We start from the raw sequence: 24,642 nt of genomic DNA, 5'->3' as shown, positions 1-24,642 counted from the left end.
GACTAAAGGAGTTAAGTAGACAGCACCTGGCTCATAATAAGTACCAAGTGATTATGATGAATATTAAGAAAAAGGTGCCCGTCCCTCTAAGCAGATGCAACCCTGCAGGGTGCAGAGCTTGGCAAGTGGATCCACAGGCTAGATTTCAGCCTCTCCTTTAGCCGAGTGCCACTGTGCCCATCAGCAATACACAACTCTACAACCTTACATAGGTCCTGCTGAGCAATTAACCTGCATGTACTGGCAGTTCTTCCTCCCACCTTCCCTTCCATCAGTCTGGCTGTGAATCAGAATCACCTGGCACACTTTGAGAAAATACAGACTTTCAGGGCCCTATATTGGCTGATTCTAACACAGGTGGACTGGGCTAAGGCCCAGGCATCTGTACTTCTCACAAGTCCCAGGTGACCAGATGACCCAGGAACACCATGTACCTGGATACATGTTTTTGAAAGTACTCAAAGCTCATCATTCTAGCTGACATTCTGGCTGTCTGAGTTGCTCCTTGAGACCAAGCATCCTCTTTGTCAAGTCTGGTCCCAGGCCTGGGCACACAGAGAAGGGGCACAGTGAACATCTGTGACTCCGCAAGCCAGCCAGCACAGCAGATGGCTGTGTGAACAGGCACAACAGGCTGCATTTGCTTTCATGCTTAAGCGGTTTGCACCAGGGAACCCTCACCTGTAGACTTGGGGTCTCCCATACCCTTGCTTCTCAAAGTGCAGTTCACAGACTAGCAGCTTGACACCCCCTGGGAGCTTGGTAGAAATGCAGAAAACTCCATACCCAGCCCTACTGAGTCAGTTTCTGCATTTTAGCAGGAAACCAAAGGGGATCCATATGCAAGTTTGTGGATACGCCCTAGATCCCTTCTCCCTATCCAAGTAAGTTCTAACCAATGGGCACATCTAACCTGTTCAAACACCCTTTGGGGCCAGTCTTCTCCTTCAAACTCCTACAGAGACCCAGAAGAACAGCACAGTCCCTTCAACAGCCCAGACTCACACTTAGCAGCCAGCCTAAGGCTCCAGGTGAACCTTCACTTTAATAAGTTATTTATTTCTAAGTCCATATTAAAATAAACCTTCCCAATAAATTGAAAAAGAGACACCTCTGGCCTCTATAATTCCAGGAAGTAAAACACCCTCCTCTTTCGTACAGAATTGAGACCCCTGCTTTCCTGCCTAAAGCCATCCAGGGACATCAAACGGTCCAAAGAAAACAAGCGATGTCTTCCCGTTGGCCAAGCTTCAAGTTATCAGGCAGATTTCACACTGCAGTTTGACCTCATTAATCCAAGGCCTATCACATTGCTGTAAATGTCAGTGGAAAATAGCCATTCAGTGGGTTTCCTTCATTCCACTAGAAAGGGACAAAACAGGAAGCTGACAAGCAGCTGTGCCCCAGCTTGGCAAATCCCAAGGGCCCAGCTGACAGCACCTATGCTCCTCTGCCCCAGCCTACTTTCCAGATAAAGACGGGTCCTGTATCTACATGGGTAAAATGCAGTGGTGATGGCAGGAACAATTCAGATAATCTGGGCCCCCAAGCACCTGCTTGGGAAGGAAAACAGAGAGCTCGGTCTGAATGTCTTTGGCCTGAGTTACTAATTGGCTGTTCATCATTCAAGTTCATCTAAATCTCTTCTGCCTATTCAAAATGTTCCACAAGCTAAACCCCTGGGACTCCAGGGGACATAAGGCCTTCCAAGTCCTCATTCATTCCTTTAATGCATATTGATTGTCTCCTGTGTGCTGGACATCATGCTGATCACGCTGGCCAACTGGAGACACACAGCTGAATGAATTGGACACAGTCACGGACCTTATGGGGCTCATCGTCCAGTGTAGTCTTTCTTAACCTCAGCACTATTGATATTTGGGATCAGATCATTTTCTGTTGTGGGGGTGCTCTCCTGTGCACCACAGGATATTTAGCAGCACCCCTGGTGTCTACTCACTGGATGTCAGTAGCTCCTCTCCCCCACTATCCCCCGAAAAGTTGTAACAACCAAAAACGTCTTTAGACATTGCCAAATATCCCCTGGGGAGGGTCAAACTGCCCCAAGTTGAGAACCACAGGTCTAGTGGATGAAACAGAAGACTAAAAGAGTAATGCTCACATATAACCATATAATCACAATTATAAGTACTGCAGAGAAAAATCTGCTGGATATTACATCAATATTATCTACAGCTTGGAAGCCAAGCATTTTCCATATGATTACAAATCCTTATGACAATTCAGAATTGTGTTTGTGAGTTACTATTTAGCAACTTATTGAAGATGCTAAAATTAGCAACTTATTTCTTCATCTTTATTTCCAGATGAAGAAATTAAGGTTCAAGGAAGTGAAAAAATTTCCCTAGGCCCCAAAGCCAGTGGAGGCAGAGCCAGCATTTGAACCCTGGCCCCAAACTTTGCCCCCATGTAAAAGGAAATGTAAGCCTGTGTTTGGATGTCCTCTGAAACAGGGAGGGTCTGTGGTCATGTGATGCTCTGATCAGCCATCCTAAAAGATTCATTCATTCCTTCCTGGGGCCACCGTGGGGCTCAGCCACCATCTTGCCACATCAATCAAGCTGCACATTGCCTGCATCAAGGCACATCTGTGGGCGAAGGAATGCCATTCTAGATTCTGAGACATCCAAGAACACCTCCCCACAAAGCGTCTGCACCCAGGAATTTCCCCAAAGTCAGGTTACATACCCAGAGCACACCCCACTGTGACCCATCTCCAAAATGCCTACTGCCCAGCGCCCAAAGGTACACAAAGCAAAAGAGGCCAGATATTCTGCAGTCAGCCTTAGATTTACAAAGTGTGTGAAGAAGGTGGTGAAGGATAGCACATGGCAACTTTGAGATGCCCCCCAAGACGTGAGTTCCTGTCACTTACAAGCTGCATGCCCTTTAGCAAATTGCCTCACCCTCTGTGCCTCGGTTTCTCCCTCTGTGCAGTGGGGGATAAGTGCATTCATTTCAACGGATTGGTATGAGAATTCAATGGCGATGCAAGTAAAGACCTTTGACAGTGACCAGCATCCAGAAATGCACTTGGTGCTATATCATGATCAATCAGTGAGTCAGGTCATGACGCTTCCTCCACTTCTACCCTCTTCTCTCAGGTGAGAAACTGAGTCCCAGGAAGAGAGAAACAAGTGCAGAGGTGGGAAAAGCATCTCAGGAAGAGGGAGTGGACCTCTTCTTCTTCGTGCTTCCTGGGTGGAATGAAGAGGGAAGGATGGTGAATGTATGGATAGTTGAGCAGAGACCAGCCCTTCCTCCCATGCAAAAGTTAATCCTGAAGTTTCCTGGACAACCCTCACTAGAGAACCACCCTCCAAGGAAGGTGCAGAGGGACTGCCTCGGGTCAGTGAGTGTTTAATCCTTCGGGGCTCCCGGCAGGATAGCCTCTGCTACCTCCCTGGCCTTGCTTCTGCCTCCATCAAACTTTCTCATGACTCTGCTCCATCAGCAACTCCTCCCACTGCTCTCCAAAAACATCCAGCACTTTTAAGCCTCGGTGCCTCTGCACATGCTGTTCTCCCGGCTAGGGCTGCCCTACCACCTGGAAAACTGTCACTGAAGGGCTCAACATGCTCCCACAGCAACTTTTGCCCACCTGTTATTGGCAATAATAGACTAATAATAGCAACGAACATCTGTGAGCACTTATTAATATCTAGAAAGCCCAAGCTGGGTTTTTAAGTTTTTTGGTTTTGTTTTTTTTTTTTTTTTTTTTTCGAAACAAGGTCTTACTCTGTTGCCCAGGCTAGAGTGCAGAGGTGCACGCAATCATGGCTCACAGGAGCCTCCACTTCCCCCGTTCAGGTGATTCTCCCACCTCAGCCTTCCAAGTAGCTGGGACTACAGGTGCACACCACCATGCCTGGCTAATTTTTTGTATTTTTTGTAGAGACGGGGTTTTGCCATATTGCCCAGGCTAGTCTCGAACTCCTGGAGTCAATCAGTCTGCCCACCTCTGCCTCCCAAATTGCTGGGATTACAGGCATGAGCCACCGCACCTGGTCCAAGCTAGGTTTTTTATCCACAGTGTCTCACTTCTCTCCTCACATCATCATCTTAGGGAGGTGGCTTATCTGCTTGAGAGGTAAGGCCTCTGTCCATCCTCACCCAGCTACAAGGTGGCAGCTTCAAGATTCAGACCTGGGTCAGCCTGAGCCATGTGGATCTGCTCGTCACTCTCTCTTCTTGCTGTTGCAGCCTTTATCCCACAGTGTCCTCATTATCTGTCTCCAGGCCTGCCTCTCCCCATAGAGGGAGAACTCTGAGAGCTGCCTCATTCATCTTGAAATCCCTTGCTAAGCACAAGGGCTGGGATGGAATAAACGTCTTTTGAATGAATCAATGAATCCTGGAAAATGGCAGTCAGCTGAGAAAGGCTAAGTGGCTGCTCACAGACTCCCCGGGGAAAAGCTGGTGCTAGACTCAAGTTCCCAGGAGTGAGCCCCCACCCCCGCCCCAGGAGACAGGCTGAGAGGCTTTCCCCGTCCTGATGGCTACAGGCAGAAGAGACAGGGTCGCACTCACTCCCCACCCTAGCACTGGAGGAGGTGGGACCTTTGAGAGTCCAACACAAAGGAGGAAATAGTAGTGATGGTGACAATGATCATTTCCTGCATTCCTACCCACACCAGATGCTGTACTGAGCACTTTTTTTTTTCTTTTTCTTTTTGAGATGGAGTCTCGCTCTGTCACCCAGGCTGGAGTGCAGTCATGTGATCTCGGCTCATTGCAACCTCCTGCTCCCGGGTTCAAGCAATTCTCGTGCCTCAGCCTCCCAAGTAGCTAGGACTACAGGCATGCGCCACCATGCTGCACTAATTTTTGTATTTTTAGTAGAGATGGGGTTTCACCATGTTGGCCAGCTGGTCTCGAACTCCTGACGTCTAGTGATCCTCCCGCCTTGGCCTCCCAAACTGCTGGGATTACAGGTGTGAGCCACTATGCTCCACCCTAGTACTGAGCACTTTCTATGTGTTAATGGTCTCATGGAATCCTTACAATCCCACAAAGTAGGCATTACTGTGATACCTATTTTACAAATGAGAAAACCAGACTCAGAGAGATTAAGTCATGTATACAGGGTCACAGAGCTTTTAGGTATAGATCCCTAATTAAAATTAGACCTCTCTGGCTCCCTCACTCTTCATACTCGTAGCTTTCTGTAAGAGGCAGGCTTGTCCGAGCCCTTCTTGAAGCCCAATTGCTAAGATGCACTCAGGACAGTGAAGGTTTTCCTGGTCTCTGCTGGAAGAGTGCCAGTTGGGACCTCCTGGTCAACAAATGTGACAAGAGTCCTGGGTGCAGGAGGGGTGGTGGCTAGGTTGGGAGAGGGGAGGGAAAGGTTGGGGGGATGGGGTCCCAAGAGTCCAAGCACAGCACCTGAATTCAGGTATGTGCCTTCTGCCTTCTCCTAAACCAGGTTGGCTGCAGCCTCTGTTGCTACACTTGGGGCATGGAGCTGGTTTTGAGAGGAGCTGAGCCCCAGTTTTCCCATCTGCAAAATGGGAATCAGTAATGCCTACTTCACGGGGTTGTGAGGATTCTGTGAGGCCATCACACATAGGCCTAGTTTCCAAAGGGCTCAAATGGGCTCTGCAGAAAGGAGAAAGGTTCTGGCTTTAAGGAAAAACCACCTGCCTACATCAGTATCCTCTTAGCCCTGTGGCTCAAGCTCCTGAAATGACTTAACAGCTAGATTAGAATTTAACCTCCACTCCGTCAATTACCAGGGAGAGCAAAGTCTGAGTGGGCACAGGGCCTTGCCTACCGTGTCTTTCTAGGCCATGGATGATCTGGAGAGCACAGATGGCACGGGGCCCTTGACACATGAACCACAGAGCCACTAATGAGTGTCACGGTGGTAGGAGACCAAAAGAGGGGAAAGAAGACATTACAGAGGCTGGGAAGAGCTGGAGCCAGGAAGGTTCCAGGACAGGGGAACACTGTTAGGTAGACCCCAGTAGACAAGTAGGCACAGAGTTGACAGTCCAGGGTGGCCTGGTTGACATCTTGCCCCCAGCATCCTGGGGACTCAGCCAGGAAGATGGGATTTGGGTGACAGGTGGGAGAGAAGGGCATGGGAGATTTGTGTGGGAAGGGCCGTGTGAGCAGGCAGCCGGCTGGAAGGATTTGCTGGCCCCCACCGGCCTCCTGCAAGCTGGCTTTTTATGACAGAGCTGGGGGAGGAAGATGTGGAAACTCCCCCAGCCCCTGCAGAACCACCCACCAGGGCTCCACTTCTGCACCTGTCTAAGAGAGACACGCCCCACTCAAAGCCAATCCCGAGGGCGGCCAGTATTGGCCAAGGAGTGTTCATCCTCCCGCTCTGCTGCACCCAGCCTCTCCCTCATCTCCCCACAGCCTGGCGGCTGTTAGCCCCGTATCTTAGAGGCAGTTGAGACTCCAGAAGCCAAGTACCTTGCCCACGAGTAGACAGCTAGTCGCTGGCTGGGCTAAGAAGCTTTATTACCAGCCTTGGAGGAGGCCTCCTAGATGGACGGTTTTTCTCCGGTGCTTCACCAGCCGCAGGAAATGGCAGGGTACACAGGGAAGTACCCCTGCGGACTGAGGCCGCCATCGGCAGGCCCTTTCCAGGGAGAGCCCTGCGGGAAAGGGCGCCTGTACCTCCGGGCCCCGGGTCCTCCACAGAGGGTGATTCAGAGGCGGCACCTGGTGTCCAGAGCCGCGGAGAGCTGGGGGGCTCTTCTGACAGTGAAAACAGGGGCCCTTTATGTGAAATGCAATCACATGGGCGCGCAGGCAGCTCGGTTTTCGGTTCCTAGAAGCGCTGATGAAGCCACATCCCTCTCCCTCCGCTCCTGAGGTGCCCGGGAGCACCGGGACCCAGGCCTGGCGCGCGGCAGCGGCGCAGCCCTGGGGTCTCAGGAGGGCCAGATTCAAAGCTCTCCCAGGCTCAATTATCCTCCAAGGGCTGGGAGCTGCATCATCAGCATCTCCAGTGAAGCTGGAGGCCGGGCCGGGGTGGGGGAGCGGAGGAAGGGAGTCTACATGGGGGAAGGAGGAGGGCAGCGAGCGCCTGCCTCCCGGCTCTCCACCCGGGGCGGTCTGGGCAGCTCAGCCTGGGCACTCCGGGTGACCTTGGGGAGACCCCTCTGGGCGACCTCTCAGGGGCGGCTGCACGTCTCCGCCCATCCTCGGCGCCCGGGGGCGCTCCTCTGGGCCGGAATCGATGAGCCGGAGTCGCCCAGAGGGGAGCGCTCCTGGCGCGGGGGACCCAGCCGCCGGCGCACGGGGCCCTGGGAGAGGCCGGGCGCGCCCCTCCCGGGGAACTACCACTCGCGGGGTCTCCCCGGGCTGGCTGGTGCTGTCAGCCGGATCCTGAGGCGGGGCGGGTCTGCAGGTGGAGGCGCCTGCCTTGGGGATCTTTCCCGCCCGGGCAGGAGCGCTCTCTGCGCCCTGCCGCTGCCCGCCAGGACCAAGCCCCGCCACGCGAGGGGGCGGCACCACCATGCCCGGCCGGGAGAGTGCGCGGGGGGGGGTTGTTTGGTGTCCGCTGTGGCTCCCGCCGCCCGGCATTGCACCCCCGGCAGACGGCGGCCCCATGAGTCCAGAACAGACCGAGGACCCCACCTCCCCGCCCCAAGATCGGTCTACGACGGCCGCAGCCAACAACCTGCCAATGCGCCCCCTCCCCTGGCCTCGTCAAGGAATTGCGAGGCCGGGGAGAACGCCCCCATTCCAGCCCGACTCCCGGACCTAGCGCTCTCGGTACCCGTCTTTCCAGAGTCCCCACACTCCCATTTATCTCAAGCTATCGTCCCTTGGCCAAAGCGCCCCGGCCCCCAGCTAGGTGATAGCAGGCTGGGACCACCTCCCCGCCCCATCCTCATCCCCCGCCCTGCGAAGCCGCAGAGCGCAAGGAGGGTGGTGGCGCCGCCGGGGAACTCACCCGCTCTCCCGAGCCCTGCCCCGGGCGGCTCCCGACCCCGGCTGTGTCTGTGGGTCCCCGAGCCGCAGCTGCTCCAGCGGCGACAGAGCTGGCTCTGCTCGGCCGCGAGCCTCCGCGCCGCCTCTCGGCTCCTCCCCCAAGGCGGGGCCTGAGCTCCTGGGACTGGGGTGGGCGCGCTCAACCCCATCCGGCTTGGGAGGCAGCGCGGGACAGGGTCCCGGCGCTCTCGGGTGGGGACCCCTCTTCTGAGCTGCAGGAAGTTGAAACCGGTTGGGACGTGGCCAGGCTTCGGAATAGTTTTCCTAACGCTGCCCCCTCCTCCAAAATAGTTTTCCTAACCCCCACCCCGACCATGGAAAGAGGGAAGCCAAGGACGGTATCCCTGCTCCCATTTGACAGACGGGAATCCTGAAGCCCAGAGAGGAGTGGTAACCTGCTCAAGGTCACACAGAATGAATGCCAGGGCCAGGAACTCAGGGTTCCTAGCTTGAAGGCCTGCGCGGCCTGAGTCTGAAGGCTTCCCAGGAGGTCCAGGGGCCGGCCCTGGCCTTGCGCTGGGGACAGATCTGTGGGGCCAGGTCCCCCAGCTGCTGGGGCCGAGACATGGGGGCTGTGGCCTGCGGTGTGGACTCGCATCATTTCCTCTTTCTGGAAAGAAGGGAGGTGAAGCGCTGGAGGAAGGAAGTGGTCGTACCTCTGCTGACGTCTGACGCCCTTTGAGATGTGCAGGATGAAGATAGGGGCTGCTTCCCTGAGATTTAACGCTAAAAATAAAAAGCAAAACATACCCGGTGGCTTCTGTCACCTCATTCAAGCCTCTTTCTGGGGCTGAAGGCCTCTGCACTCTGTGCACCAGCCTTTCTTTACAACACAATGGGTTTAACTATTTAAGTTGCTGAGAGTCACCCCCCACCATCACCACCCCAGGAAGAGAAAAGAAAGTTCATAAACAAAGCAGAGAAAACCTCCCCAAACATTCTCTGGAATCCACATTTGCTGAACCCTGGCCTTAGAACAATAGGTTTCTCTTCTCCACAAAGGCCTTGTTTCCTGAGCTTTCCCGGCCTACAGATGAGAGCCCTAGGCACCCCAGGGCCAGCCAGCTGGGGAAATTCAGAGTTTAAGTTTGGGGAGTTTGGGGATGGTACCCAGTTAATTTGATTCTCAGCTGTCATGTTTGAGGAACTCGCCCGAATCCTTTTTTTTTCACTGGCAATATTCTTTTGAGGCCACCAGCATCACCTGAGTTTAGTGATTTTCTGTTTGCTCAGTCACCTTTCTTGGGGGAGAGAAAATCTGTGGGTTGAACTTGTTCCAGGCCCCCAGGCCCTCTCCAGGAACTCTGTAAGCCCCCTTCATTGGCTCCCTGGCTCCCTCTCAGTTCATTAATAATCCAGTTGTGAATGACACTGTTTCAGGAAAAGCAATTAGACAGTAGAGCATGTGGGGAAGACTTAAAGCCATGTTTAAAATAACCCAAGGGAATCATTGTTCTCCGAAGAATGTTTCCATTGATTGATAATGAAGAGCCATGGGCTGAGAGGATGGGAACCCATCTCTCCAAGGCTTGTGTGGCACTTGGGGCCTGTGTTCCTAAAATAAGGCCTTTGGAGGGAGGGGGCTCCCAACTCCAATGTCATGCTGTTCATTCACCTCTCACACTGTGTTCGGTATCAAAAGTTAAAGTAAATTCAGAATAAGTTGGGGGACTCACAAGTCCTGATTTCAAAACTTACTAGGAAACTTCAGTCATCAAGGCAGGGTGGTACGGGTATAAGGATGGGCATACAGACCAATGGAATAAAACTGAGAGTCCAGACAGAAGCCCTTACACTTACTGCCAATTGATTTTCAACAAGAGTGCCAAGACAATTTAATGGGGAAAGAATAGTGTTTTCAAAAAATGGTGCTGGGACAACTGGATATCCACATGCAAAAGAATGAATTTGGATCCCTGCTTCATACTATATGCAACATATAGATCTAAATGTAAGAGCTAAAACTATAAAACTCTCTGAAGAAAACATAAGCCTAAATCTTCATGACTTTGGATTAAACAGTAGTTGCTTAGATATTAGCACAAGCAACAAAAGAAAAAAAAATAGATAAATTAAAAACTTTTGTGCTTTCAGGGGTATCATCAAGAAAGTGAAAAGTTATGGCTGGGCCTGGTGGCTCACACCTATAATCCCAGCATTTTGGGAGGTGGAGATAGGAGGATTACTTGAGGCCAGGAGCTCAAGACCAGCCAGGGCAACATAGTGAAACTCTGTCTCTACAAATTCTTTTAAAATTAGGCAGACGTAGTGGTTCATGATTGTAGTCCTAGCTATTTAAGAGGATTGCTTTTGCCTAGGAGTTCAAGGCTGCAGTGAGCTATGATGGTGCTACTGTACTCCCGCCTGGGTGACAGAGCAAGACCCTGTCTCTAAAAAAAAAAAAAAAAAAAAATTAAACATAAAAAGAACAAAAAGAGAGTGAAAAAATAACTGTTATAAGCTGAATTGTGTGCCCCCTCACCCCCATTCATATGCTGAACTGTACTGGTTACAGTCTCAGAACCTCAGAATGTAACTGTGGATGGAGATAAGGTCTTTAAAGAGGTGATCATCTTAAACTGAGGCCCTTGGATGGGGCCCTCATCCAATGACTGGTGTCCTCATAAGAAGAGACACTAGAGATGCGCCACACAGAGGAAAGACCAGAGGAAGGCACAGGGAGAAGAAGGTTAATTACAAACCAAGGAGAGAGGACTCAGGGCTGGGGGACCAGACCTGCCAACACCTTGATCTCAGAATTGTAGCCTTCAGAATTGTGAGGAATAAATTTCTGGGGGTTTGTTTTGTTTTGTTTTTTTGACATAGAGTTTCACTCTGCTGCCCAGGGTGGAGTGCAGTGGCACGATCTTGGCTTACTGCAACCTCCACCTCCCAGGTTCAAGCGATTCTCCTGCCTCAGCCTCCTGAGAAGCTGGGATTACAGGTGCATGCCCCCACGCTCGGCTAATTTTTGTATTTTTAGTAGAGTAAGGGTTTCACCATGTTGGCCAGGCTGGTCTCAAACTCCTGACCTCAAGTGATCCACCCACCTCGGCCTCCCAAAGTGCTGGGATTACAGGTGTGAGCCACCGCACCCAGCCAATTTCTGTTGTTTAAGCCACCCAGTCTATAGTATTATGTTATGGCAGCCTTGGCAAAATAATACAATATCCCACAGAACGGGAGGAAATATTTGCAAATCATATTCCTGGTAAGGGACTTATATCTAGAATATATAAGGAACTCTTACAACTCTATAATAAAGAGACAAATAATAAAAAATGGGCAAGGAGCCTGGGCAACATGGCAAAACCCTGACTCTACTAAAAATACAAAAAGTTAACTGGGCATGATGGCATGGGCCTGTAGTCCCAGCTACTGGGGAGGCTGAGGTGGGAGGATTGTTTGAACCTGGGAGGCAGAGGTTGCGGTGAACCAAGATCACACCACTGCACTCCAGCCTGGGCGACAGAGCGAGACCCAGTCTCAAAAAAAAAAAAAAAAAAAAAAAAAAAAAAAAAGGCCAAGGGATCTGGATAGACATTTCTTCAAAGAAGATAGATATACACATGGCCAAGATGCTCAACATCATTAGCAATGAAGGAAATGCAAAGCCACAATGAGATACCACTTCATACCCACTAAGATGGTTATAATAAAAAAGATAGGCAATAACCAGCATTGGTAAGGATATGGAGAAATTGGATCCTTCATACATTGCTGGTGGAAATGTAAAATGGTGCCGCTGCTTTGAAAACCAGTATGGCATTTCCTCAAAATTTAAAACATAGAGTTGCCAGATGACCCAGCAATTCTACTCCTAGGTATATACTCAGGAGAAATAAAAGCATACATACACAAAAATTTGTACACAAATGTTCATAGTAGCATTATTCACAACAGCTAAAAAGTGGAAACAAGGCCGGGCGCGGTGGCTCACGCCTGTAATCCCAGCACTTTGGGAGGCCGAGGCGGGCGGATCACGAGGTCAGGAGATCGAGACCATCCCGGCTAAAACGGTGAAACCCCGTCTCTACTAAAAATACAAAAAATTAGCCGGGCGTAGTGGCGGGCGCCTGTAGTCCCAGCTACTTGGGAGGCTGAGGCAGGAGAATGGCGTGAACACGGGAGGCGGAGCTTGCAGTGAGCCGAGATCCCGCCACTGCACTCCAGCCTGGGCGACAGAGCGAGACTCCGTCTCAAAAAAAAAAAAAAAAAAAAAAGTGGAAACAATCCAAATATCCATCAAATGATAATGGATAAATAAAACACGGTACAATCCACTATTACTTGGCAATCAAAATGAATGAAGCACATGCCACAACGTGAATGAACCTTGAAAACCTTGTGCTGAGTGAAAGAAGCCAGTTCCAAGGCCATACACATATTATATGATTGTATTTATAGGAAATGTCCAGAATAGGCTGATCTATAGAGACAGAAGTCAGATTGGTGATTGTCTAGAGCTGGGAGGGGGTTATTGGAGGCAAATGGGGGGTGACTCAAAAAGAGTACCAGTTTTTCTTTTGGAGGTGATAAAAATTTTTAAAATTGATTGTGGTGATGATCACGCAACTATGGATATATTAAAAACCACTGAATTATATACTTATAAGCCAGTGAATTGTATGGCATGTGGATTATATCTCAATAAAGTTTTTCAAAAAAAAAAGTTAAACTATGCTCTCATCCTCCACACCTCTCTCTCCTGTCCACAGGCAGGAAAGTCTCTTCCTTTATTTTGGAGGTCATCTGTGGTACCATCTGTAGTAAGACATTAAGGGACAGTCCAAGGCCACTGAATATTCTACGAGGCTATGGGAAAATGTTTGAGGGCCGCCAAATAAATAAATGGGCTCCAACATACAAAATCTAAACACTGATGTTTAAAAATATAGAGTTAAATGTCAACATAACTTTAGGTCAACCGGTCAACAGCAACTAAGTAAATTCATAGTTCCATAGAAATTATACAGAAGGTAGGCCGCGCGCGGTGGCTCACACCTGTAATACCAGCACTTTAGGAGGCTGAGGCAGGCAGATCACGAGGTCAGGAGATCGAGACCATCCTGTCTAACACGGTGAAACCCCGTCTCTACTAAAAATACAAAAAATTAGCCGGGCATGATGGCGGGCGCCTGTAGTCCCAGCTAGTCGTGAGGCTGAGGCAGGAGAATGGCGTGAACCCGGGAGGCGGAGCTTGCAGTGAGCAGAGATTGCGCCACTGCACTCCAGCCTGGGCGACAGAGCGAGACTCCGTCTCAAAAAAAAAAAAATTATACAGAAGGTAGAATTTGGGTGAATTATATAGTTGCTATGAGGCAAGGTCTAGAGATTCCTGAGTCTGTGAAAAATGAACTAATTTCAGTGTTTAAAGGGATTCATTCTAGAGGTTATCTGAACCAAGGTCTTTTGTTTGTTTGTTTTTTGAGACAGAGTCTCAGTCTCTCACCCAGGCTGGAGTGCAGTGGTACGATCTTGGCTCACTGCAACCTCTGCCTCCTGGGTTCAAGTGATTCTCCTGCCTCAGCCTCCTGAGTAGCTTGTATTACAGGCACCCACCATCATGCCCGGCTAATTTTTGTATTTTTAATAGAGACAGGGTTTCCCAGTGTTGGCCAGGCTGGTCTCAAGCTCCTGGCCTCAAGTGGTCCGCCCAAAGTGCTGGGATTATAGGCGTGAGCAACCACACCCAGCCTGAACAAAGGTTTTTGTTTTTGTTTTTGTTTTCTGAGACAGAGTCTCACTCTGTCACCCAGGCTGGAGTGCAATGGCATGAGCATAGCTCACTGCAGCCTCTGGCACTCAAGTGATCCTCCCATCTCAGCCTCTGAGTAGCTGGGACTACAGTCGCATGCCACTAGGCCCAGCTAATTTTTTTTTTTTGAGACCGAGTTTCACTCAATTATTTTTACTTTTAGTGCAGATGAGCTCTTGCTATGTTGCCCAGGCTGGTATTAAACTCCTGAGCTCAAACAGTCTTGCTGGAATTACAGGCATGAGCCACTGCACCTGGCCTGAACTTGTGGTTCTTAATGTCAGCCTGTGGGCAGGTGCTAGGCTGGCTACATTCATTCATTCATTCAACAGATACTTAGTCTAATGCTAGACCCAGAATAAGCCTTGATAGGCTGCCCTTGTCCCCATGCTGCTACTCCTGATGATGAAGATGATAGCTCCAGGCCAGGCCCAACCAACAGAAGAGCAGGAAGTGCAGAGGGTTCAACTTGGGTTCAAGTAAAAATGAGCCAAGAAGGAGAAAGGCATCCCAGGTAAGAGTTCTGGCTCTGGCATGAACTCGCTGGGCGGTCATTTCCTCTTCTGAATGTCGGTTTCCTGGTCTGTACAATTCTGATTGTACAATACTTATAAGTGTTTGTATGTGTGGTTTTTTCCCACGTCCTCATGCTTTTGTGGGAAGTGACTTTTACCTCTTTTGTAAGCTCCCCAAGAGCTGTTTGCACACAGTAGGAGCCCCATAAGTAGGTGGAAGGAGCCCCAGGCATTTAAGGCTAGTGGTGAGCTCAACCTGTGATGCTGTGAGGATAGGGGTAACGAAGAGTGGGATAGACTGGTTTTCAATTTTTTTTTTTTTTTTTTTTTTTGAGAAAGACGCTCGCTCTGTCGCCCAGGCTGGAGTGCAGTGGCACAATCTTTGCTTACTGCAACCTCCGCCTCCTGGGTTCAAGCAATTCTCCTGCCTCAGCCTCCCGAGTAGCTGGGACTACAGGTGCCTGCCACCACGCCCAGCTAATTTTTTGTATTTTTAGTAGAGATGGAGTTTCACAGTGTTAGCCAGGATGGTCTTGATCTCCTGACCTCATGATGCACCTGCCTCGGCCTTCCAAAGTGCTGGGAGTACAGGTGTGAGCCACCGTGCCCAGCTGGCTTTCATTTTTATATTCAATTTATGGAGAATCTTGTGCAGTGGCTCTCAGTCTTGGTGGTACTTTGGAATCACTAAGAGGTTTTAAATTTTTCTGATGGCTGGGTTCTACCCCAGACCCTTTGAATCAAAATCTCTGGAGGTTTATTTTTAAACATACATACAGATCAAAAGAACTCCCAAGGCATGTTGAAAATGCAACTTCACTTAACTTAGCCAGGATTAAGAATCACCACCTAAGTCAGTGTTTCACAAGTTTTGGTGACCACAAAGTGGGTAGGAAATGGGAGAGGGAGTTTAGTCCATTTTCTGTGGCTATAAGAGAGTACCTGAGACTGGGTAGTTTATAAAGAAAAGAGGTTTATTTAGCTCACGGTTCTGCAGGCTGAGAAGTTCAAGGGCATGGCCCAGGCTTCTGGCAAGGGTTTTCCTCTATCGCAACATGGTAGAGAAGGGAGAAGGTCAAAAGGGAAACAGACATGTGCAAAAAGGGGAAACCTGAGGACTGTGCTGGCTTTATGACAACCCACTCTTGTGGGAAATAATCCGTTCCTGCAACAACCATTCCAGTCTCCCCAGAGCCAGAACTCACTCACTACTGGGAGAACAGCACCAAGTTATTCCTGAGAGATCTGCCACTATTACTCAAACATCTCCCACTAGGTGCCACATCCCCAAACCTTCATTCTGAAGGTCAAATTTTAACATGAATTTTGGTGGCAACAAACAAACCATATCCACGGTTGGCAGGATGGTAGGGGAGAGATAGTATTAAAATCCTCCTTCCTGGGCCTGTCCTTTGCACCCGTTTCTCATTCTTTGGTGTACGGGCCTCAGAATATGCATTTTAGCAGATTCTAATGAATAATAGGCTTTAGCTAATGCCTTCAGCTGCCTTGGTAGCAATGCCTCATTCTCCTGTATTCCTTATATTGACTTAAATGGGGTTTCCAAAATTCCAGGCAAAGAAAAGTCACCTGAGGCACTTATTAAAAATGCAGATTCCAGCCGGGTGCAGTGGCTCACACCTGTAATCCCAGCACTTTGGGAGGTCAAGACGGGTGGATCACCTTAGGTCAGGAGTTTGAGACCAGCCTGGCCAACATGACAAAACTCCATCTCTACTAAAAATACAAAAAGTAGCCAGGCATAGTGGCACACGCCTGTAACCCCAGCTACTCGGGAGGCTGAGGCAGGAGAATTGCTTGAATCTGGGAGGTGGAAGTTACAGAGAGCCAAGATCGCACCATTGCACTCCAGCCTGGGCAACAGGGCAAGACTCTATCTCAAAATGAAAGAAAGAAAGAAAGAGAGAGAGAGAGAAAGAAAGAAAGAAAGAAAGAAGGAAGGAAGGAAGGAAGGAAGGAAGGAGAAAGAAAGAAAGAAAGGAAGGAAGGAAGGAAGGAAGGAAGGAAGGAAGGAAGGAAGGAAGGAAGGAAGGAAAGAAAGATGCAGATTCCTTTTTGCACCCACCAATATAATAATTGATTGAGGGAACAACAACCATGAACAGCTGCTACAGCCATTGAGAAAAAAGGTATTGGGTAACAGAACAGTCACACTCTTCAAAACATCATGCCACAGATCATTTACTAGGTAAAAGGGGAAAATGTACCTTTACATCAGAGAACTCCAGTGGTCTCTGCCTTAAACGCGAGATCACACAGCATCACCATAGTGGGACAACCTGACATTGTTCGCCCCCACTGTGATGCAATAAGATATACTCAACATCTTCTATGTCATATTCTTGCCAAAAATACTTAACCTGATTTTAATCATGAGGAAAATTAAGACAAATCTAGAATGTGGGGCATTCTAAAAGCCTAGACTCTCTTTTTAAAAGTTAATATCATTTTTTATAGTGGCAGGGACTTATTCCAGATTGAAAGAGATTAAAAGGACACAATAAAAAGTGCATAATGCGTGCACCTTGATTGGCTCTTGGACTGAACAAGTAAATAGCTATGAAAGAAATGTTGTAAACCACAGGGAATTTAAATATTATCTGTACATTAGATGACATTACTGGATTGACATTACTCTTCTTAAATATGACAACGGTGTTCTGGTCGTGGTTATGGAGGAAAAGGTCCTTTTTTGTTGTTTGTTTTTTGAGACAGGGTCTCACTCTGTCACCCAGACTGGAAGGCAGTGGTGCTATCACAACTCCCTGCAGCCTCAACCTCCCGGACTGAAGCAATCCTCCCACCTCAGCCTCCCACGTACCTGGGAGCTAATTTTTTTTTTTTTTTTTTTTTTTTGAGACAGAGTCTTGCCCTGTTGCCCAGGCTGGAGTGCAGTGGGGCGATCTCGGCTCACTGCAACCTCTGCCTCCCAGGTTCAAGCGATTCTCCTGCCTCAGCCTCTGAAGTAGCTGGGACTACAGGCACGTGCCACCATGCCCGGCTCATTTTTTGTATTTTTAGCAGAGACAGGGTTTCACCATGATAGCCAGAATGGTCTTGATCTCCTGACCTTGTGATCCGTCCGCCTCGGCCTCCCAAAGTGCTGGGATTACAAGTATGAGCCACTATGCCTGGCCCACAGCTGGCTAATTTAAAAATAATTTTATACAGACAGGATCTCCCTATGTTGCCCAGGCTGGTCTTGAACTCCTGGGCTCAAGCAATCCTCCTGCATCGGCCTCCCAAAGTGCTGGGATGATAGGTGTGAGCCACCACACCTGGCCTAGGCCCCTATTTTTAGGAGATGCTTGGTGAGGAGAGAGTGAGGGAGGGAGAGAGAGAAAGCAAAAATGAGCCAAAATGTTAACAACTGGTGAGTCTAGGTGAAGGGGGTTCAGGTGTTCCTTGTACTTTTCTTTCCATTTCTCTAGATTTGATATTTTTCAAAATAAGAAAAATTGTGAGGGAATGCAGATTCTCGGGCCCTTCCCCTTGGCCATTCTGATTCAGCAGACCTGGATGAGGCCTGGGATCTGTATTTTTAAAAGAGTGCTCTGGTGATTTTTACCTGGGGTAAGTTGCCACCATCTCCAACATAGTGCCCAGAAGTCCCCCCTCAGCAACCTGTGCCGCTTAATGCCTTTGGTCTTCATGTGCCTACTGGGGTATTCCCAGCCCTGCAGCATATCTTGTCCCTACACCTGGCCTGCTGTTCCCTCCCTCTGCTTAGCCCCCAACCTCTTTCAGGTCTCAGCTCAACCATCACTTTCTCAGGGAAGGTTTCCTAGAGCCCACTCAGCCAAACCCCCTGGTAGTAGCTCTCATAACCCCAGGGACCACAGTTGTCATTTTGTACATCGTTGTGGCATTGAATATTAATCCTGCTTCTCCCATTAGACAGTGTTATAAGCTGAACTGAGTCCCACCACTCCCAAATTCCTATGTTGAAGTCCTAACCCCCAGTATTTCAGCATGAGACTGCATACAGAGATAGGGTCTTTCATAAGATGACTAAGGAGCTGGGTGTGGTGGCTCACACCTGTATTCCCAGCACTTAGGGAGGCTGAGGCAGGCAGATCACTTGAGGTCAGGAGTTCAAGACCAACCTGGCCAACATGGCATAACCCCATCTCTACTAAAAAATGCAAAAATTAGCCAGGCATGGTGGCAGATTCCGGTAATCCCAGCTATTCAGGAACCTGAGGCAGGAGAATCACTTGAACCTGGGAGGTGGAGATTGCGGTGAGCCAAGATCGTGCCACTGCACTTCAGCCTGGGCGACAGAGAGAGAGTCCATCTCAGAAAAAAAAAAAAAAAAGAATAAAAAAGAATAAAAGAAGGTGACTAAGGTCAAATGAGTTCATATGGGTAGACCCTAATCCAGTAGGACCAATGTCTTTATTAGAGGAGATTTGGAGGCAGATAAAAGACACTGTGAAGACACAGGAGGAAGACAGCACCTACAAGCCAAGGAGAGAGAAAAAGAAGGCAGCACTGCTGACACCTTGATCTCAGACTCCTAACCCCCAGAAATGTGAGGAAATTGTCTGAGCCACCAAGTCTGCAGTATTTTGTTATGGGAGCCCCAGGACATTGATCCAGTGAGTGCCACCCTGCGCTCTGATCAGACACCAGGCCTTTTTGCTTAACACGGATTCCCAGTGCCTAACATAGCCTGGCATATAGGAAGAGCAAGGACATTTTTATTTATTTTATTTTACTTTTTAGAGATAGGGTCTCACTCTGTCATCTGGGCTGGAGTGCAGTAGTGCCACGATAGCATCATAGTTCACTGTAGCCTTGAACTCCTGGGCTTCAGTGACCTTCTTGCCTCAGCCTCCCAAGTAGCTGGGACTACAGGTGCCATCACCACACCTGGCAATTTTTTTTTTTTAAGGCAGAGACTTGCTTTGTCGCCCAGGCTGGCATGCAATGGCATGATCTCAGTTCACTGCAATCTCCACCTCTCAGGTTCAAGCAATTCTCATGCTTCAGCCTCCCAAGTAGCTGGGACTATAGGTGCGCACCACCATGCCCGGCCAATTTTTGTATTTTTAGTAGAGACGGGGTTTTGTCATGTTGGCCAAGGTGGTCTCGAACTCCTGGCCTCAAGTGATCTTCCAGCCTCGGCCTCCCAAAGTTCTGGGATTACAGGCATGAGCCACCACCCCCAGCCACCTGGCTAATTAAAACAAAATTTTTTTGTAGAGATGGGGTCTCACTATGTTGCCCAGGCTGACTTCTAACTCAGCCTCAAGCCCTCCTGCTTGGACCCCCCAAAGTGCTGGGATTACAGGTGTGGGCCACTGTGCCTGGCAGCAAGAATTTGTTGTAGGGATGAAGTGACCCTGCTTTAGGAGGCTGGTGGAAGTGTTTGGAGGATAGAGAAATATACTCCTGGCATACATCAGGGCTTTAATAAACAGAGCTTGAAAATGCAGCAAGACAATATTTTGGAAATTACAAATGTGGGTTAGGTTTCCTTCCCTTCTGCATTTGTTTTGTTGCGCTGCTACTGTGGTTGCCCTCAGCTCTCACCCATCTCGCGATTGTCACTCTTTGCCTCTGGGGAAGGACAGATGCCAGCGACAGCAAACAAAATTGTTCCTCAGGCCTGAGTGGCAAAATTGAGCCTGGAACACCCACAGCCCAGGAGGCAGCCTGAAAGCCGAAGCGCTTTTCATGTGTTACTGCCTGGAATAAGAGAGGGAAGGTCTTTTGAAATTCTAGAAATCTATGCTTGGAAGATATGTCATCCCTCGGTATCTGCAGAGGACTCTGGTTCCCAAAATCAGTGCGTAAAATTTCAGGAGTCCTGCAGGATTCCGGCAAATATGGTATCTTCCATCCGCATTGGGTTGCAGATGCAGAACCCATCCATATGGGCAGCCTACTGTATTTATTGAAAAAAAAACAAAAACAAAACTGTGTTTAAGTGAACCTGTGCACTTCAAACCCATGTTGCCTAAGGGTCAACTGTACATAGGCAAAGCCTGAAGTGGAAAGGCAAAATGTTTATCCCCACATGACAGATGGGTTGAAGAGATGCTCCATTTCTGAATTATCAGGGAAATGTAAATAAAACAGATAGGAGGTAGAGGTCACATCCATCGGAAAGGCAAAATAAATATAAATAAAATAGTCTCTCAATACCGCGGTGGGCTAAGACTGTGTAAGTGGAACCCCATGGGGTAGGAGGAACCAAACCCTGGTGCAATCGTTTTGGAGGGAAATTTGGCATTATTTGGGAAAGTTGGGTACTCGCGTCCAGTAATACAGCAGCTCCACATTTAGGAACATCCAGCTAGGAGAAAACCTCCCACCTGTGTAGAAGACATGTCTAAAGATATTCATTAGGCCTTTATCTGCAAAAGGCCAGCAACATCCTAAATGCCTACCAAAGGGGGAATGGATAAATGGATTCAGGAGTGCTTTAATATCGCAGAATTCTAAACAACAGAGAGAATGAACAGAAATAAAGCTGCCTGCATCAACATAGATAAATCTGAAAAAACAAAATGAGTTGGGAAAAAATGCAAGCTGCAAATGAACACTTACAGTGTGATACTTTTATATTTATTTATTTATTTATTTACTTTTGAGATGGAGTTTCACTCTTGTTGCCCAGGCTGGAGTGCAAGGGCACAATATCGGCTCACTGCAACCTTCAACTCCTGGGTTCAAGCGATTCTCTTGCCTCAGCCTCCTGAGTAGCTGCGATTACAGGCACCCACCACCATGTCCAGCTAATTTTTTTTTTGTATTTTTAGTAAAGACGGGGTTTCACCATGTTGGCCAGGCTGGTCTCGAACTCCCGACCTCAGGTGATCCACCCGTCTCAGCCTCCCAAAGTGCTGGGATTACAGGCATGAGCCACTGGGCCCGGCTGATACTTTTATATTTTATAACCACAATAGCATGCATTTGTGATACCCAGATTTGCACTAGAGGCATAATAAATGATAGGCTGGCTGTCTTCACTAGCCCTACAGACCTAAGACTGTGTAAGTGGAACCCATTGGGGTGGGAGGAACCAAACGCTGGTGCAGTTGTTTTGGAGGGAAATTTGGAGGCCTGAGTAGCATACTTCATCTTGCTCTGCACTACTGTGGATGACACCATAGGAATTCCCTTGTCTTCTGGCTTCTTGTAGGAGATAAGAGGGCAGAAGTGAGGCCATGTGAGTTGGCTGTGTCCCTCTACTGAAGGCCACAGCTTCTACTGCTGACCTTCTTCAGGCTTTGGTAGGTGCTCACACCACTTGCCTCAGTTTCCCCATTCATAAAATGGGTATGATAAAAGTAACTATCTCCTAGGTGCATTATGTGGACTAGATAAGCATAGGCACTTGGCGCAGTGCCTGATAGGTTATAAATAACTCAGCAAAAGTTAGCTTTTATTGTTATTAATCACACCCTTTCTCCATTCCTACAAGGAACTCCTTCCCCACTGCCCCCCCTTTTTTTTTTTGAGGCAGAGTTTTGCTCTTGTTGCCCAGGCTGGAGTGCAATGGCACAATCTCGGCTCACTGCAAGCTCCTCCTCCCGGGTTCAAGCAATTCTCCTGCCTCAGCCTCCTGAGTAACTGGGATTACAGGCATGCGCCACCATGGCTGGCTAATTTTGTATTTTTAGTAGAGATGGGGTTTCTCCATGTTGGTCAGGCTGGTCTTGAACTCCCGACCTCAGGTGATCCACCCGCCTCGGCCTCCCAAAGTGCTGGGAATACAGGCGTGAGCCCCCACGCTTGGCCCCTTCCCCCCTTTTTAGACATGAAAATCTCATGGCTTCCCTTAATATTACTTGACATTCCAAAATACAGGTCTGAAAGCAATCCTTTTTCATAAAGCATGGGACTACATGTGCTTAGGAATTTCACAATTTTTTGAATTTTATAAATGCAATGTGGTGGGTGCATAGAGTCTATATCAGTGACTCTCATATGTGAGCGTGAGTCAGAATCTCCAAGAGGGCTTGTTAAAGCACAGAGGGCTGGGCCACACTCACTCCGTAGGTCTGAAGTGGGGCCTGAGAATTTCCATTTCCATTTCCCATTTGATGCCAATGCAGCTGGTCTCAGAACCACACTTTGAGAACTACTGCTATTTTACGACATCCTTAGAGGGGTCTAGAGCAGCACCCCCAAATCAAATATTATTATTTCTACTGTGGGCTGGGCATGGTGGCTCACACCTGTAATCCCAGCACTTTGGGAGGCCGAGGCAGGCAGATCACCTGAGGTCAGGAGTTTGAGACCAGCCTGGCCAACATGGTGAAACCCAGTCTCTACTAAAAATACAAAAATTAGCTGGGTGTGGTGGCGGGTGACTGTAATCCCAGCTACTGGGGAGGCTGAGGCAGGAGAATCACTTGAACCCGGGAGGTGGAGGTTGCAGTGAGCCTAAATCGTGCCATTGCACTCCAGCCTGAGCGACAGAGTGAGACTCCGTCAAAAAAAAAAATTAAAAAAAAAATCTTACTGTGAAATGTTAATGAAAGACTATAAATAGCCTTAAGCCAGTTCGGATTAGATTTAGCTACTGAGTAAGCTTTTATAAACTGATGCAAACGCTTTGAGTTTGCAGAGAATTTTGGATTTTGGAAGAGTGTAAGGGATTGTAGACTTGTAAATGAAATTTCATGACCAAAGATGAAAGCATATTAAAAAAAGTAATTTTCGAATATGCTTTTTAAAACTACACTTGATCCACCACCATCAGGGATTATGAATGTGGAATGAATGAATGAATGTGAATAAACTCTTAAGGAAGAAGAAAGGGCGAAACAGCGGGTCTTGCATAGTTTCTATTGGCCACCAAGTGGCAGTATCAGGTCTCTCTCAAAGTTCGGGAGTGCTCGGGAGAGGGGCGTTCTACGCTGTTACGTCAAAAACAGAACCAGGCTGTGGGTAGCTGCTCCATCTAGAAGAGCCCTTGGGAGATGCTATTGCTTTGTATCCAACTACTCCAAAACTTAGAGGGGTAAAACAACCATTTCATTATGCTTATGAATTCTGTAGGTCTGAAATTTGGAAAAGGTGAAGCAGGGATAGTTTGTCTTTTCCACATGTCCCGGGCCTCAGGTGGAAATACTTGTTGGCTGGGGGTGACTCACCAGCTGGGGGTGGGGACGTGGAGGGGGGGGTGACTCAATAGCTGGGAGCTGGAATCATCCGGAGGTGTCTTCATTCACCTGTCTGGGTATTGATGATGGCTGTCAGCTGCAACCCCTACCAAGGGTCTCTCTGTGTGGTCTCTCCGTGAAGGCTAGCTCAGGCTTCCTCACAGCATGGGCTAGCCTGGGCTTCCTCACAGCATGGGCTAGCCTGGGCTTCCTCACAGCATGGCAGCTGGGCTAGCTTGGGCTTCCTAGTATGGTTGCTAGGCTAGCTCAGGAACAACATGGCAGCTAGGCTAGCTCAGGCACAGCATGGCTGCTGGGCTAGCTCGGGCTTCCTCATAGCATGGCGGTTGGGCTCAAGTGTGAGTTTCAAGGAGAGGAGAAATAGGACACCCTTTGATGGGAGGGATGTCAAAGTCAATATATTCGTTTGCTAAGGCTGCCATAGCAAAGGACCACAGTCAGGGTGACTTAAGCAACAGAAGTTTATTCCTCAGAGTTGTAGAGGCAAGAAATCCAAGATGGGGTGTGGGCAGAGTTGGTTTCTCCTAAGGACCCCCTCCTGGGCTTGCAGATGGCTGTCTTCTCACTGTGTCCTCACATGGTTCTTCCTCTGTGTGGCACATGCCTGGTGTCTCCTCTTCTTATAAGAACACAGTCATACTGGATTACAGCCCCACCCTAACGCATTCATTTTAACTTAATCACCTCTTTTTTTTTTTTTTTTTTTTTTTTTGTCGAGACAGAGTCTTGCTCTGTTGTCTAGGCTGGAGTGCAGTGGCATGATCTCGGCTCACTGCAACTTCTACCTCCTGGGTTCAAGCGATTCTCCTGCCTCAGCCTCCTGAGTAGCTGTGACTACAGGCACACACCACCACACCCGGCTAATTTCTTTTGTATTTTAGTAGAGATGGGGTTTCACCGTGTTGCCCAGGCTGGTCTCGAACTCCTGAGCTCAGGCAATCTGCCTTCCTCGGCCTCCCAAAGTGCTAGGATTACAGGTGTGAGCCACTGCGTCCGGCCAATCACCTCTTTTAAGGCCCTATCTCCAAATGCAGTCACATTCTGAGGTACTGGACTTCAACGTATATATTTGTGGGAACATGATTCTGCTCCTAACAGCCACATTGTCAGACGATCATGTGATATATAGGCGATATCTGTCTTGGGAAAATGCGGTCTGCCATGGCACCCGTCCTCGAGGCACACTGCACACACCGATGGTGTCGCAGTTGGTCATGCACATCATTCTCAA

The 24,642-nt window shown here is 48.7% G+C and overlaps 1 protein-coding gene across 2 annotated transcripts in view, besides 10 other annotated features; it reads right to left on the bottom strand.

Annotated features, from left to right (window-relative positions):
• PPP1R16B (protein phosphatase 1 regulatory subunit 16B) overlaps positions 1-8,032 on the bottom strand; it is a 117,328-nt gene extending 109,296 nt beyond the window's left edge. For both annotated transcript variants that reach the window (NM_015568.4, NM_001172735.3), the window contains exon 1: positions 7,937-8,032. The gene's annotated coding sequence lies outside the window, so the exon portion shown is untranslated. The remainder of the gene's footprint in view (positions 1-7,936) is intronic.
• Positions 4,837-4,886: an enhancer, noted in NCBI's record as "active region_17863". NCBI's record gives its function as "activates an Ori minimal core promoter by ATAC-STARR-seq in GM12878 lymphoblastoid cells {active_cell/tissue: GM12878}" and the evidence as "EXISTENCE:reporter gene assay evidence [ECO:0000049][PMID:35858748]".
• Positions 4,947-4,996: an enhancer, noted in NCBI's record as "active region_17862". NCBI's record gives its function as "activates an Ori minimal core promoter by ATAC-STARR-seq in GM12878 lymphoblastoid cells {active_cell/tissue: GM12878}" and the evidence as "EXISTENCE:reporter gene assay evidence [ECO:0000049][PMID:35858748]".
• Positions 6,576-7,414: an enhancer, noted in NCBI's record as "H3K4me1 hESC enhancer chr20:37434958-37435796 (GRCh37/hg19 assembly coordinates)". NCBI's record gives its function as "activates a minimal SCP1, AML or CMV promoter by ChIP-STARR-seq in naive H9 embryonic stem cells {active_cell/tissue: H9 hESC(naive)}" and the evidence as "EXISTENCE:reporter gene assay evidence [ECO:0000049][PMID:30033119]".
• Positions 6,983-7,332: a silencer, noted in NCBI's record as "silent region_12906". NCBI's record gives its function as "represses an Ori minimal core promoter by ATAC-STARR-seq in GM12878 lymphoblastoid cells {active_cell/tissue: GM12878}" and the evidence as "EXISTENCE:reporter gene assay evidence [ECO:0000049][PMID:35858748]".
• Positions 7,393-7,612: a silencer, noted in NCBI's record as "silent region_12905". NCBI's record gives its function as "represses an Ori minimal core promoter by ATAC-STARR-seq in GM12878 lymphoblastoid cells {active_cell/tissue: GM12878}" and the evidence as "EXISTENCE:reporter gene assay evidence [ECO:0000049][PMID:35858748]".
• Positions 7,803-8,182: a silencer, noted in NCBI's record as "silent region_12904". NCBI's record gives its function as "represses an Ori minimal core promoter by ATAC-STARR-seq in GM12878 lymphoblastoid cells {active_cell/tissue: GM12878}" and the evidence as "EXISTENCE:reporter gene assay evidence [ECO:0000049][PMID:35858748]".
• Positions 7,803-8,856: a biological region, named in NCBI's record as "OCT4-NANOG-H3K27ac-H3K4me1 hESC enhancer GRCh37_chr20:37433516-37434377".
• Positions 7,995-8,856: an enhancer, noted in NCBI's record as "OCT4-NANOG-H3K27ac-H3K4me1 hESC enhancer chr20:37433516-37434377 (GRCh37/hg19 assembly coordinates)". NCBI's record gives its function as "activates a minimal SCP1, AML or CMV promoter by ChIP-STARR-seq in naive H9 embryonic stem cells {active_cell/tissue: H9 hESC(naive)}" and the evidence as "EXISTENCE:reporter gene assay evidence [ECO:0000049][PMID:30033119]".
• Positions 8,443-8,712: an enhancer, noted in NCBI's record as "active region_17861". NCBI's record gives its function as "activates an Ori minimal core promoter by ATAC-STARR-seq in GM12878 lymphoblastoid cells {active_cell/tissue: GM12878}" and the evidence as "EXISTENCE:reporter gene assay evidence [ECO:0000049][PMID:35858748]".
• Positions 8,857-9,719: an enhancer, noted in NCBI's record as "OCT4-NANOG-H3K27ac-H3K4me1 hESC enhancer chr20:37432653-37433515 (GRCh37/hg19 assembly coordinates)". NCBI's record gives its function as "activates a minimal SCP1, AML or CMV promoter by ChIP-STARR-seq in naive H9 embryonic stem cells {active_cell/tissue: H9 hESC(naive)}" and the evidence as "EXISTENCE:reporter gene assay evidence [ECO:0000049][PMID:30033119]".

This window comes from Homo sapiens, chromosome 20, assembly GCF_000001405.40.
Source record: "Homo sapiens chromosome 20, GRCh38.p14 Primary Assembly".
In the NCBI taxonomy this organism is placed as follows: Eukaryota; Metazoa; Chordata; class Mammalia; order Primates; family Hominidae; genus Homo; species Homo sapiens.
Note: the sequence above shows the minus strand (reverse complement) of the source record. Positions and strands in the feature narration are given on the sequence as shown.